Source organism: Homo sapiens, chromosome 5, assembly GCF_000001405.40.
Source record: "Homo sapiens chromosome 5, GRCh38.p14 Primary Assembly".
In the NCBI taxonomy this organism is placed as follows: Eukaryota; Metazoa; Chordata; class Mammalia; order Primates; family Hominidae; genus Homo; species Homo sapiens.
Window position 1 is genome coordinate 69,328,493 of NC_000005.10, and position 13,429 is coordinate 69,341,921.

A 13,429-nucleotide genomic window follows, 5' to 3' on the forward strand; every position below is an offset into this window, starting at 1 on the left:
AAATAAAAATAAAAATAAAAATACTATGTAGTATAGACTAGGCAGCAACATGATAAATGCTCACATATACAAGTGTAAAACATAAAAAGCAGAATTCAAAGTTGTCTGTACTAGAACAAAGATTAGAAGAAAAACAAAAGATAAAAATAAATTAGTAGGATTAGAGTATTTTTCCATATACCATTTTTATAATATTGTATTTTAACAGTACTACAAAATCTAAGAATATCTACAGCTGATTCTGTACTATATGGTAATCTTGAATAGATAAACACAGAGGTTCCTTCATACTTTATACGTTTGACTTTTTTTTTTTTTTGAGATGGAGTCTCGCTTTGTCACCCAGGCTGGAGTGCAGTGGCGCCATCTCACCTCACTGCCAGCTCCGCCTCCTGGGTTCACACCATTCTCCTGCCTCAGCCTCCTGAGTAGCTGGGACTACAGGTGTCCGCCACCACGCCCGGCTAATTTTTTGTATTTTTAGTAGAGATGGAGTTTCACCGTGTTAAGCAGGATGGTCTCAATCTCCTGACCTCATGATCCGCTGGCCTCGGCCTCCCAAAGTGCTGGGATTAGAGGCGTGAGCCACCACGCCCGGCCTACCTTTGACTTTTAAAAGACGACTTGAACCAACATATCAATATATGCTGTCTAAAATAGATGTGTCAACGTTTAGGATTAAAGTATTTATTTTTATATGGACAGAGTCTCAGTCTGTTGACCAGGCTGGAGTGCAGTGACAGCTCACTGCAGCCTCGACCTCTGGGCTCAAGTGACCCTCCCATCTCAGCCTCCCGAGTAGCTGGGACTACAGGCATGTGCCACCACACCTGGCTAATTTTTTTGTTCTTGTAGAAGCTAATTTTTGTATTTTTTGTAGAGACGAGGTCTCCTTATATTGCCCAGGCTGGTCTCAAACTCCTGGGCTCAAGCAATCCTTCTGCCTCGGCCTCCCAAAGTGCTGAGATTACAGGTGTGAGCCACCATGCCCAGCCAGGATTCAAGTCTTTTTTTTTTTTTTTTTTTTTGAGACGGAATTTTGCTCTTGTCACCAAGGCTGGAGTGCAATGGCGTGATCACGGCTCACTGCAACCTCTGCCTCCTGGGTCAAGTGATTCTCCCACCTCAGCCTCCTGAGTAGCTGGGATTACAGGTGCCTGCCACCACACCCAGCTAATTTTTGTATTTTTAGTAGAGATGGGATTTCACCATGTTAGCCAGGCTGGTCTCGGACTCCTGACCTCAGATGATCCACCTGTCTCGGCCTCCCAAAGTGCTGGGATTACAGGCATGAGCCACCGAGCCCAGCTCGGATGTATTTTTTTCTATTCCAGCCCAGGCATACGTGACTTGCCCCAAATACAATGGTAATTAGCAGCAGAGCCAGGACTAGAAACAATATTTCTGGCTCTTTGTCCAGTCCTCTGGCCACTTGGGAAAGGCTGTAGGATGAATAGATTACAGTCTGTTAGCAGTCGTCTCACTTTTCCACTAAAACAACTCTTTAAAAGATGACCAGTGACTTCCTCATAGATAAATCCAAGATCAAGTTTCATTCCTCAGTCTCCTCTACCTTTGCAGGAGCTGTGACACTACTGACTCACTAAGTCCAGGTCCACCTGACTCCTGAAGCCCCTAGAAATAGAAATCTGATCCTCCTCCTTCCCTGACTCATATCTTCTCATATCTGTCCTCTAAGGCTCTTTTTCTTTTTCCTGTCCCTTTTGTAAATGTTTGGCTTCTTTTACTAATCTTAAATACACATCTCCAACTGGATATTCCACCAGCAATCCAAGCACATCTTGCTCAAAAACAAATTCACCGCCGGGCACGGTGGCTCATGCCTGTAATCCCAGCACTTTGGAGGCTGAGGCGGGCGGATCATGAGGTCAGGAGTTCGAGACCAGCCTGGCCAACATAGTGAAACCCTGTCTCTGCTAAAAATACAAAAATTAGCTGGGCACGGTGGTGTGCACCTGTAGTCCCAGCTACTCGGGAGGCTGAGGCAGGAGAATCGCTTGAACCCGGGAGGCAGACATTGCAGTGAGCCGAGATTGCACCACTGCACTCCAGCCTGGGTGACAGAGCAAGACTCCATCTAAAAAAAAAAAATTCACTATCCTCCCAGCCCCCATTCCAGGTCTCCCTCTGAGTCCTCTATTTCTGCAAATGCATCAACTATGCTCCAAAACACTCAGGAGCAAAACTTTGGAATTGTTTTTTCCTCTTTGGTCTTCACATGCCTTCAGTTGCTAGGTCTTCTAGACCCAAAAAAATCTCCCCAAACTATGTCATTCTTTGCACATTAATTTCACTGCCCTGGTGGAACGTCTCTTTAATTCCCCAAGGCTAGCCTGATAATTTCCTAATTGGTCTACTTCAAGCCAACCTACATACTGCTGCCAAGTCAATAATATCCAAGTGCAAACCGAATGATGTCTCTCTCTTGCTGTAAAACATTCCATGGCTCCCATGGCATGTATAATTGTAGTCAATGTCACCCTGTTTTCCTTTTTAAAAAAAATGTAGGCTGGGCACAGTGGCTCACACATGTAATCCGAGCACTTTGGGAGGCTGAGGCGGGCAGATCACCTGAGGTCAGGAGTTTGTGACCAGCCTGGCCAACATGGTGAAACCCCGTCTCTACTAAAAATACAAAAATTAGCCAGGTATGGTGGCGGGCGCCTTTAATCCCAACTACTTGGGAGGCTAAGCAGGAGAATCGCTTGAACTTGGGAGGTGGAGGTTCCAGTGAGCTGAGACAGCACTATTGTCTGTCACCCACGCTGGAGTGCAATGGTGCGATCTCGGCTCACTGCAACCTAGACCTCCTGGGTTCAAGCGATTCTCCTGCCTCAGCCTCCCCAGTAGCGGAGATTACAGGCGCCCACCACCATGCCCGGCTAATATTTGTATTTTTGTAGAGACGGGGTTTCACCATGTTGGCCAGGCTGGTCTAGACCTCCAGACCTCAGGAGATCTGCTCACCGGTCTCCCAAAGTGCTGGAATTACAGGCGTGAGCCACTGCGCCCAGCCGAAACTCCGTTTCAAAAAAATAAAAATAAAAATAATGTATCCAACTGAAGTGTCACCCTGTTTTCTACAACAAAGCTACAGTTTTCACCTCCAGTTTCATCTGGCAGTACTCCCTGGATGTACTCTGCGCTTCCACGTAAGAGGAACTGCACTTGCTCCCAGGGCTCCTCCCTCAGCTCAGCTTGGTCACCTGCAAGCCTCTATTGGTGCCATTCTTCACCCCAGGAATGCTGTTTCTTCTCAGAGCCCCCTCAGTTCAGGACAGCACTCCCTCCAGTAGCCTTCCTGACTCCCTTGGACCAGATGTGATTTCTTCCACATCTGAGTCTTCCCAGTTCTGGGAGGTTTTACTGAATCTTTTTAATAGTGCTTACTTCCTACCTGACCTAGACTGACTGTATATTCCCTTATGCAGAGACTTTGTGTGTCTCGTTTGCTTATGCACAACATGTGTTCCAAAGATATTTGACAGAATCGAAAGAGAAAACCGATTCCTGCCCGGAAACCTTTGGACAGAAGAATCTACATTCAGTAGCCTGACAACTCTGCCTTAGCAAACAAGTTGGTCAAACATGCCTAACTCCATGACAAAGAGGAACTAACTTGAGCCCTCCCTGGTGAACAATGGCCTGCTGCACTTTGCTTTAGGATTTTGTTTCTTAACTTTTCATTTTAGAATAATTTTAGATGTACAGTAAATTGCAAAGATAGTACTAAGAATTCCTGTGTACCTTTTACCCAAATTCCTCTAATGTCAACATTTGTGTACAATTTGTCGAAATTAAGAAATTAACATGGGTACGTGCTATTAACTAAACCACAGCCTTTATTATTTTTTCCACTAATGTCTTTTTCTGTTTCAGGATCCAAACCAGGATACTGGCGCTATAGTTTTATAAGGCTCAAAATTAACAGAAGAGAAAAAAAGTAAAGCAGGTGGAGAGGCAGAGAGAGAAATAGGGTCTCTGAAATCTATTTCTTATTTTTTTCTTATCAGACGAGGCCATTAAACTGGCATTCAGGGAAAAGGATTTGGGCAGTTTGTCCACAACCTGCAGAGTTTCCACGAATCTGCGCATCCCGCCCCTGCCCTGGGTCCTCCCCACTCCCGGTTCCCACCTGCCAGGTCTGACCCCGGGTACCCTCTCAAGGTCCGTGGCGGGGACCGGAGCCCGGACTCCAGCTCAGCGAACAGCACCCTCCTACCGCCCCGGCGCCCCACTCAGCTCGCTCACCTGGCAAGTAGCCTCCTCTCCGTGCGCGTGCGCCGCTGCCGCCGCGCGTCCTCCGGGCCACCACGTGACCGCGTGGGCGCAGTCCCAGACAGGAAACGCCGGTGAGGTCGCCCTGGGCCATGGAGGCAGCTCGCGCTACTTTTTCGCGACCTCACTGTGTTCCTGTGTGCAACCTGATGTTAGCTCTGTCCACCTTCAGCTCCAAAGCCAACCACGGGTAACCAATATGCAAACAATGACATGAGATTTAGAAAAACAACAAGACGGGGCCTGTGTCAATACAGGTAAAATTTGGTGGTTCAAACATTGAGGTTCAGACCGGCGCGGGGTTTCACACCTGTAATCCCAGCTTTTGGGAGGCCAAGGCGGGAGGATCGCTTGAGGCCAGGAATTCGAGACCAGCATGGCCAACATAGTGAGACCCCGCTCTACAAAAAATTTAAAAAGTAGGGCTGGGCGCGGTGGCTCACGCCTGTAATCCCAGCACTTTAGGTGGCCGAGGCGGGTGGATCACGAGGTCAGGAGATTGAGACCATCCTGGCTAACACAGTGAAAACCCTTCTCTACTAAAAATACAAGAAATTAGCCGGGCGTGGTGGCGGGTGCCTGTAGTCCCAGCTGCGCAGGAGGCTGAGGCAGAATGGCGTGAACCCGGGAGGCGGAGCTTGCAGTGAGCCAAGATCGTGCCACTGCACTCCAGCCTGGGCAACAGAACGAGTCTCCGTCTCAAAAAAAAAAAATAATTAAAAAGTAGCGGGTGTGGTGGTGCGTACCTGTAGTCCCAGCTACTCAGGAGGCCGGGAGGCCGTCAGGTGGGAGGATCCCGTGAGCCTGGGAGATCCAGGCTACAGTGACCACTGCACTCCAGCCTGGGCGACGGAGTGGAGACCCTGTCTCAAAAAAGAAACAAACCAAAACCAAAATATTAAGTCTCTAGGAATCCTGTAAGAGAAGGGTAGATCGGGCCAGGTGCGGTGGCTCACGCCTGTTAACCCAGCACTTTGGGAGGCCAAGGTGGGTGGATCACCTGAGGTCAGAAGTTTGAGACCAGCCTGGCCAACATGGTGAAACCCCATCTCCACTAAAATACAAAATTTAGCCGGTCGTCACACGTCCGGAGGCCGAGCCGTCGCGTACCTAGGATGCCGCGTGGAAGCCGAAGCCGCACCTCCCGCATGGCCCCTCCGGCCAGCCAGGCCCCCTCAGATGAGAGCTGCACCCAGGCCAGTACCAGTCGTTCAGCCACCAGCAGCGGCACCCCCATCTGTAGTTGGCTCTTCTGCTGCTGCGCCCCGGCAGCCAGGTCTGATGGCCCAGATGGCAACCACTGCAGCTGGCGTGGCTGTGGGCTCTGCTGTGGGTCACGCCATTACTGGGGCTTTCAGGGGAGGAAGTAATGCTGAGCCTGCGAGGCCTGACATCACTTACCAGGAGCCTCAGGGAACCCAGCCGGCACAGCAGCAGCAGCCTTGCTTCTATGAGATCAGTTTCTGGAGTGTGCCCAGAACCAGGGTGACATCAAGCTCTGTGAGGGTTTCAATGAGGTGCTGAAACAGTGCCGACTTGCAAACGGATTGGCCTAATCAAGAAGTTCAACCTGGAGAGATGGAAAATCAGCTCTCATAACTAAGTTAATTTAGTATAAAAATAGAATTGATAGTGAGGGTATAAAGTGTAACCATGAGTTAAACCTCTCCTGTCATTCCTAGCTTCCTTGCTTCAGAATTGAAATGGAAGGGGGGTGTTCCTACTCTGTAGAATCTGTGACAGGGCAAATGTTTGTGTGGCCTCCTTAAACTAGCTGTTATGATTTTATTCTTTGTGAGTTAATTAGAATAAAGTCATTTTCTTCCAAAAAAAAAATTAGCCGGTCGTGGTGGCAGGTGCCTGTATTCCCAGCTGCTTGGCTGAGGCAGGAGAATCTCTTGAACCCGGCAAGCGGAGTTTGCCGTGAGCCGAGATCGCGCCACTGCACTCCAGCCTGGGTGACAGAGCAAGACTTTGTCTTAAAAAGAGGAGGTGGGGGTGGGAGAGAGAGAGAGAGAGAGAGAGAGAGGGAGAGGGAGGGAGAGAGAGAGAGAGAGAAATCTAAGCTGAGGTTCAGAGGTAGAGGCAGTCATTGAAAAACAGGCTTTTGCGGGCGGGCGGCGTCCACTGCAAGGATGCACTGTCTGGCTCCCTCTGGAGGCGGGAGCACGAAGGAGCGACCACGGAGCCCTTGAGCCTGTGGATGGTGGCCTCGGCGGCCGGCAGGCCATGCTGGAGTATCTGCCAACCTGATGAAGACGAGGACGTCCCACAAGTTCCGGACAGACGTGGCCGCCAAATTAATGAGGAAAGAAAAGGAGTCTTTTTTTTTTTTTTTAAAGACAGAGTTTTTCTCTTGTTGCCAGGCTGCAGTGCAGTGGCGAGATCTCAGCTCACTGCAACCTCTGCCTCCCGGGTTCAAGTGATTCTCCTGCCTTAGCCTCTGGAGTAGCTGAGATTACAGGTCTGCACCACCACGCTCAGCTAATTTTGTATTTTTAGTAGACAGGGGGTTTCTCCATGTTGGTCAGGCTGGTCTCGAACTCCTGACCTCAGGTGATTCGCCCGCCTTGGCCTCCCAAAGTGCCGGGATTACAGGCGTGAGCCACCGTGGCTGACCAAAGGTGTCTTAAGCTTAGAAAAATGATAAAAGATATAAAAGCTGCCTAGGAATGAAACTACTGGGTCATATGAGGCTCCTTCAGGGTGCGCAAAGTCCTGGAAACCAGCATGCAGATAAGGAAAGAAAGAGACCATCAGTCCATGCAGTTGTCAGCTGGCTGGGAGCTGAGGAGAGTCACTTGTGGAGGCACCTGATCTTTGTCCCCCACGTCCCAGACAAGCCCATATCTCACTTTCAGAACTAAGATGCTTGGGAAACCAAGACAAGGAACTGTGTATTGCAAACAGCATTACCCTAGAGAAGAAGTGGCAGGAGATGACCTACAAAAAAATGGAGCAATAGCCTAGAGCAAGAAACAGAACAAAAGAGAACTGAGTCACCTCCTGGAAGGTCACACAAGACAAGCACATATTCAGGGGCCTCCTAACAGACTAGACTTCCAGCATCCTCAGTTGGGGCTAGACACTTTTTACATAGACATTCAATACTAGAGAACTCAGGGACATCTGATTTATACCATGAAATACATACACAGCAGATGTGTGCCTGTGGAGCAGAATTCTGGAAAAGCTCACAGCCCAGAACATAATGCAGACTCCCCCAGCCACAGCACCTTCCAATCCTGAGAAGAGTGCTGATTCTCCATCTGAGCACCCATTCTCCTGCAACATCAGGGGAGAGGAGTTCACCTAAGGATCAGACCAGTATCTCCAAACCCAGCTCCCCACCTCTGCCTGTTGGTGGCACTTGTGGGTGAAGGGGAGATGGTATGAAAAGACTCACAACAGGAGTCACCTGAACAAGGTGGGGCTTGGTGGAAACTGACATTTGTTCCTGTTGGAGGCAAATGTGGAATTTGGCATCTTGCCTTAGCAACAGACACATGAAATTCTCCAGTGCCCAGGACTTTTGACAGTGACTTCAAAGCACAGCTGGGAGACCCATGTGGCCCAGGCTCTACCCAGGCAGGAGCTCAGCTTCACTCACAGCAGGATTCCTAGTGCCAAGAACACCATGGGTGCATAGCAGGTGATCAAAATAATTGTATGTGGCTGAATCAGTGAGAGGTAAGAGAGAGGACTTGAGGCCGGGCACGGTGGCTCATGACTGTAATCCCAGCACTTTGGGAGGCTGAGGTGGGTGAATCACAAGGTCATGAGATCAAGACCATCCTGGCTAACACAGTGAAACCCCATCTCTACTAAAAACACAAAACATTAGTCGGGCGTGGTGGCACGCACCTGTAATCCCAGCTACTCGGGAGGCTGAGGCAAGAGAATCGCTGGAAGTCGGGAGACGGCGGTTGCATTGAGCTGAGACTGCACCACTGCACTCCAGCCTGGGCCACAGTGCGAGACTCCGTCTCAAAAAAAAAAAAAGAGAGAGGACTTGATCCTAGCGGCAAACTAAGAGACCTCATTAAAACCTAACATGTGAGGCCCAGCATGGTGACTCATACCTGTAATCCCAGCACTTTGGGAGGCTGAGGCTGGAAGATTGCTTGAGCCCAGGAGTTCAAGACCAGCCTGGGCAACATAGTAAGACCCTGTCTCTTAAAAAAAATTGGATGAGCATAGTTATAGTCCTAGCTGCTTGGGAGGCTAAGGCAGGAGGACTGCTGGAGCCCAGGAGTTTGAGGTTAGAGTGAGCTATGATTGCACCACTGCAATCCAGCCTGGGCAATGCAGTGAGCCCTGTCTCTCTCTACAAAAATCATATATATATATATAATATATACATAATATATATAATATATACATTATATATATAATATATATTTAGTGTGTGTATGTGTGTGTGATATCAGAAAAAAAAACTATTCATCGTGAAGTAAAAAAGAGCCTGACTTTGGAGGTATATAAGCATGGCATTGGGTTCAAATCAAGCTCTGACAATTACCAAGCTCAGCCTCAGCGTCTCTACCTGTGAAATTGGCTTGATTCAGTACCTACCACACAGGGCTGCTATATGAATTGTTTGTGAAATATTTAGAATGGTGCCTGACACATGGTTCACAGTAAGAAACAACTATTGCTATTATTAAGTGCTTTGCACTTTGGTTTTCACAGAGCTAATGGTTTTCACAGAGCTAACAATTTTTACTGTCTAGCTTTGTGTCTTTGAAAGATTTTTGAGGTCTAAGAATGCCGTTTTAAAACCTCTCAACACTCCTAGAAGAGGTCACACTTTGAGCTTCAATAACTGCCTTTTTTTTTTTTTTTGAGACGGAGTTTCGCTCTTTTGCCCAAGCTGGAGTGAAATGGCGCGATCTCGACCCACTGAATCCTCAGCCCCCTGAATCCTCAGCCCCCTGGGTTCAAGAAATTCTCCTGCCTCAGCCTCCCGAGTAGCTGGGATTACAAGTGCCCGCCACCACGCCCGGCTAATTTTTGTATTTTTAGTAGAAACAGGGTTTCACCATGTTGGCCAGATTGGTCTCAAACTCCTGACCTTAGGTGACCTGCCCGCCTCAGCCTCCCAAATTGGTAGGATTACAGGCATGAGCCACCGTACCCGGCCAATAGCTGGCATTTTTGTCAATTAGTTAACAGTGTGCTTAGAGCAAGTCCCTGTAGAGAGTGTCCACGGGCATGAGCCACAGGGAATACAGTGCGAGGCCTGTGGAGGTAGGAGCTGAGGATGTCAACAGGGAAAGCACAGAGTACCAAAGACAAAAGTCACCCAGGACATTTCTTTGTTAGCTACCTGGTGGCAGCCTGGACACCTGAAGATAGAGTTGAAGACACCTCTAATGCAAGAGGTGGATGCCCCGGAGATGTGGCTGATTCCTCCAGCCCCGCCATCATGCAGCTTCGTGACTTCCTGGAGAGCCTTATATGCAAGCAGAAAAGTCCCAGAATAAAGCAATGTGGATATTGCACACTTTTTTTTTTTTTTTTTTTGAGATGGAATCTCTCTGTGTCACCCAGGCTGGAGTGCAGTGGCTCAATCTCGGCTCACTGCAAGCTCCGCCTCCCAGGTTCACACCATTCTCCTGCCTCAGCCTCCCTAGTAGCTGGGACTACAGGTGCCCGCCACCACGCCCAGCTAATTTTTTGTATTTTTAGTAGAGATGGGGTTTCACCATGTTAGCCAGGATAGTCTTGATCTCCTGACCTTGTAATCCACCCGTCTTGGTCTCCCAAAGTGCTGGGATTACAGGTGTGAGCCACCACGCCTGGCCAATTGCACACATTTTTAAAAGAACTGGAGGGGTGAAGAGTACCAGCTGTCCCTACTGGGCCAGGACTGCCCTGGTTTTAACACTAAATGTCCCACATCCTGATAACCCTCAATCCCACGCAAATCAGGCCAGATGGTCATCTACTTGGAAGTTATCAAAGGAGGTGGGTTTTAGCATCCCTTCCCTTTCCTGTTACATTGAGACCATGGGGTGCTGTTAACTTGATTTTAGTTTCTTCAAAAATGCCAGAAATTTAGCTAATAGGTTTTCCTTATATTTGTTAATTGAATTAGACTATATACAGTCTGCATGTTTACCTTATTTTCCATTATATAATGGCACCAAATATTGCAATAATTTTTTTAAATTAATGTCTTTAGTAATGGATTGCTAGGTGTTGAAATGCTTTAATATATTTATGAAAACATTTGTACAAATAATTTTATCTTCCACATGACATTTAGAAAAGTTTAGTCTGGCTGGGCGTGGTGGCTCACTCATGTAATCCCAGCACCTTGGGAGGCCGAGGTGGGTTGATCACCTGAGGTTAGGAGTTTGAGACCAGCCTGGCCAACATGGTGAAATCCCGTCTCTACTAAAAATACAAAAATTAGCTGGGCCTTGTGGTGCGGACCTGTAGTCCCAGCTACTTGGGAGGCTGAGGCAGGAGAATCACTTGAATCACTCCGGGAGGTGGAGGTTGCAGTGAGACAAGATTGCACCACTGCACTCCAGCCTGAGTGACAGAGTGAGACCCCGTTTCAAAAAAAAAAAAGAGAAGAGAAGAGAAAATAAGAAAATAAAAGGAAAGGTTTAGTCTGAAATTCCATTACTGAAAGTTCTTGGGGTTGGGGGAGGTGGAAGGCAGTATCTTTTTGCTGTTATATTTCTTATACTGCAGTGTCAGTGAAACTACATCATCCTTTGTAAAATCAATAAAATCCCTGATAATTTAAAAAAAAAAAGAACAAAAGAAAAGCAGGCTTTCATTACTGAGAAACCAAGCAGGCATTGTAGGCCAAAGGAATTCCTGGAGCAAAGTCATGGAAGTGGAAACCAACAGGAATGGCCCTGTGGGCTTAGAAAGCTACTACTGGGGACTGTTACCTATTCCTGGTGGTTTTCTGAGATGGGTGCTACCTACCTATAACCCCATGAAAACATGCTGCATCATAACTTCATTACCTTGGTGAAATAATTTTGGTTTTATTTCCTAATATCCTACAACCTTGGAATAACCAAAGGGACGTGGTAGTGGTCAAAAAACTGCTGGGTCTAAAGATCATTCTGCATTAACAACAAAGACAAGTAATAAACACTTTCCTCGCAGTGACAAACCTCTTTATTCTTTCTCTTCTCCAGATCCAGCTCACATTTGCCTTAACCACTTATACCCCAAAAGTAAACATATCTAGGTATACTGGGAAATATACGAGACTTAAAATTGAGGCTCTAAAATTTCTCCTGATTATAAATAAGGTCAATGCTATGTGCACATTAGATGCTCAAGGATTTAAGATTATTTTAAAAGATTAATACATAGGCTGGGTGAAGTGGCTCACGCTTGTAATCCAGCACTTTAGGAGGCCGAGGCAGGTGGATCACAAAGTCAGGAGTTCAAGACCAGCCTAGCCAACACAGTGAAACGCCGTCTCTACTAAAAATACAAAAATTAGCCAGGCGTGGTGGCAGGTGCCTGTAATCCCAGCTACTCAGGAGGCTGAGGCAAAAGAATCGCTTGAACCCAGGAGGTGGAGGTTTCAGTGAGCCGAGATCACACCACTGCACTCCAGCCTGGGTGACAGAGCTAGACTCCGTCTCAAAAAAAAAAAAAAAGATTAATACATTTATAATTTTAAAGTCAGTTTGCCTAGTATCTATTATGGTAGAGTAGGCACATCAAATAGCTTTTGCAAACCAAAAATAATTTTTCTTCACTTAAAACTCTGACATGTATTTAAAACAACAGTCTTCACTCTAAAAATATTTCAAGGCTTACTCCCACCTGTCCCCCTTAAAAAAACTTTAAGATAACCTCTAAGATAACCCTGATTTCTTTGTCAAAACTTTTCCAAAATTTAGAACTGTGGAGGCATGGATATAAAATTTATTTTTGGACCGGGCACGGTGGCTCACACATGTAATCCCAGCACTTTGGGAGGCTGAGACGGACAGATCACCTGAGGTCAGGAGTTCAAGACCAGCCTGACCAACATGGGGAAACCCTGTCTCTACTAAAAACACAAAATTAGCCAGGCATGGTGGTAGGTGCCTGTAATCCCAGCTACTTGAGACGTACTCAAATTGTACATATAGCTTTTAAAGACTTTCGGCATATATTTGTTAAGCAATAGTTTAGCAGCATTGTACATGTATTTTTTGTCTTTTTTTGTTACCTGAGCACATGTTTTTTAAAAATAAATTTTATTTTAATTTTTTTTGAGATGGATTTTCAGTCTTGTTGCCCAGGCTGGAGTGCAACGGCACAATCTCGGCTCACTGCAACCTCTGCCTCTTGGGTTCAAGCAATTCTCCTGCCTCAGCCTCCCGAGTAGCTGGGATTACAGGCATGTGCCACCACGTCTGGCTAATTTTGTGTTTTTAGTAGAGATGGGGTTTCTCCATGTTGGTCAGGCTGGTCTCGAACTCCCGACCTCAGGTGATCTGCCCACCCCGGCCTCCCAAAGTGCTGGGATTACAGGTGTGAGCCACCACACCCAGCCAGTACTGCATTCTTTTTATGGCCAAATAATATTTAGTTTTATGGACATACCACAATTATCTTATACCATTCAGGCCGGGCGTGGTGGCTTACGCCTGTAATCCCAGCACTTTGGGAGGCTGAGGTGGACGGGTCACCTGAGGTCGGGAGTTTGAGACCAGCCTGGCCAACATGGTGAAACCCCATGTCTACTAAAAATACAAAAATTAGCTGGGTGTGGACGAGTGCCTGTAATCCCAGCTACTCAGGAGACTGAGGTGGAAGAATCGCTTGAACCCGGGAGGTGGAGGTTGCAGTGAGACAAGACCGTGCCACTGCACTCCAGCCTGGGTGACAGAGTGAGTCTCCAACTCAAAAAAAAGAATTACACCATTCATCAGTTGATGAACATTTGGATTGTTTCCAATTCTGGGCAATTATGAATAATGCTATAAACAGTCATGGACAAGTTTTTGTATGGGTGTATGTTTTCATTTCTCATGGGTATAGAACTAGGAGTGAAATTGCTGGGCCATATAGTACTCTATATTTAACATTTTGAGGAAATGCCAAGTGGTTTTTCAAAGTGGCTACACCATTTTATATTAACACTAGTTATGTG

At 47.0% G+C, this 13,429-nt stretch overlaps 1 protein-coding gene and 1 pseudogene across 29 annotated transcripts in view, besides 1 other annotated feature; one reads left to right on the forward strand and one right to left on the reverse strand.

Moving 5' to 3' along the window:
* Positions 1 to 4,309, reverse strand: part of CCDC125 (coiled-coil domain containing 125) — a 59,763-nt gene extending 55,454 nt beyond the window's left edge. For 15 of the 29 annotated variants that reach the window (XM_047416908.1, XM_047416901.1, XM_047416899.1 and 12 more), the window contains exon 1: positions 4,273 to 4,309. The gene's annotated coding sequence lies outside the window, so the exon portion shown is untranslated. Of the gene's footprint in view, positions 1 to 4,156 lie in introns of all 29 variants that reach the window. The other 14 variants (XM_011543258.3, XM_047416900.1, XM_047416898.1 and 11 more) reach the window with 2 other exon arrangements.
* CHCHD2P2 (coiled-coil-helix-coiled-coil-helix domain containing 2 pseudogene 2) lies at positions 5,374 to 6,127 on the forward strand (annotated as a pseudogene).
* Positions 7,550 to 7,844: a silencer, noted in NCBI's record as "tiled region #11525; HepG2 Repressive DNase matched - State 13:Ctcf, and K562 Repressive non-DNase unmatched - State 13:Ctcf". NCBI's record gives its function as "represses a minimal TATA promoter and a strong SV40 promoter by Sharpr-MPRA in HepG2 and K562 cells {active_cell/tissue: HepG2 | K562}" and the evidence as "EXISTENCE:reporter gene assay evidence [ECO:0000049][PMID:27701403]".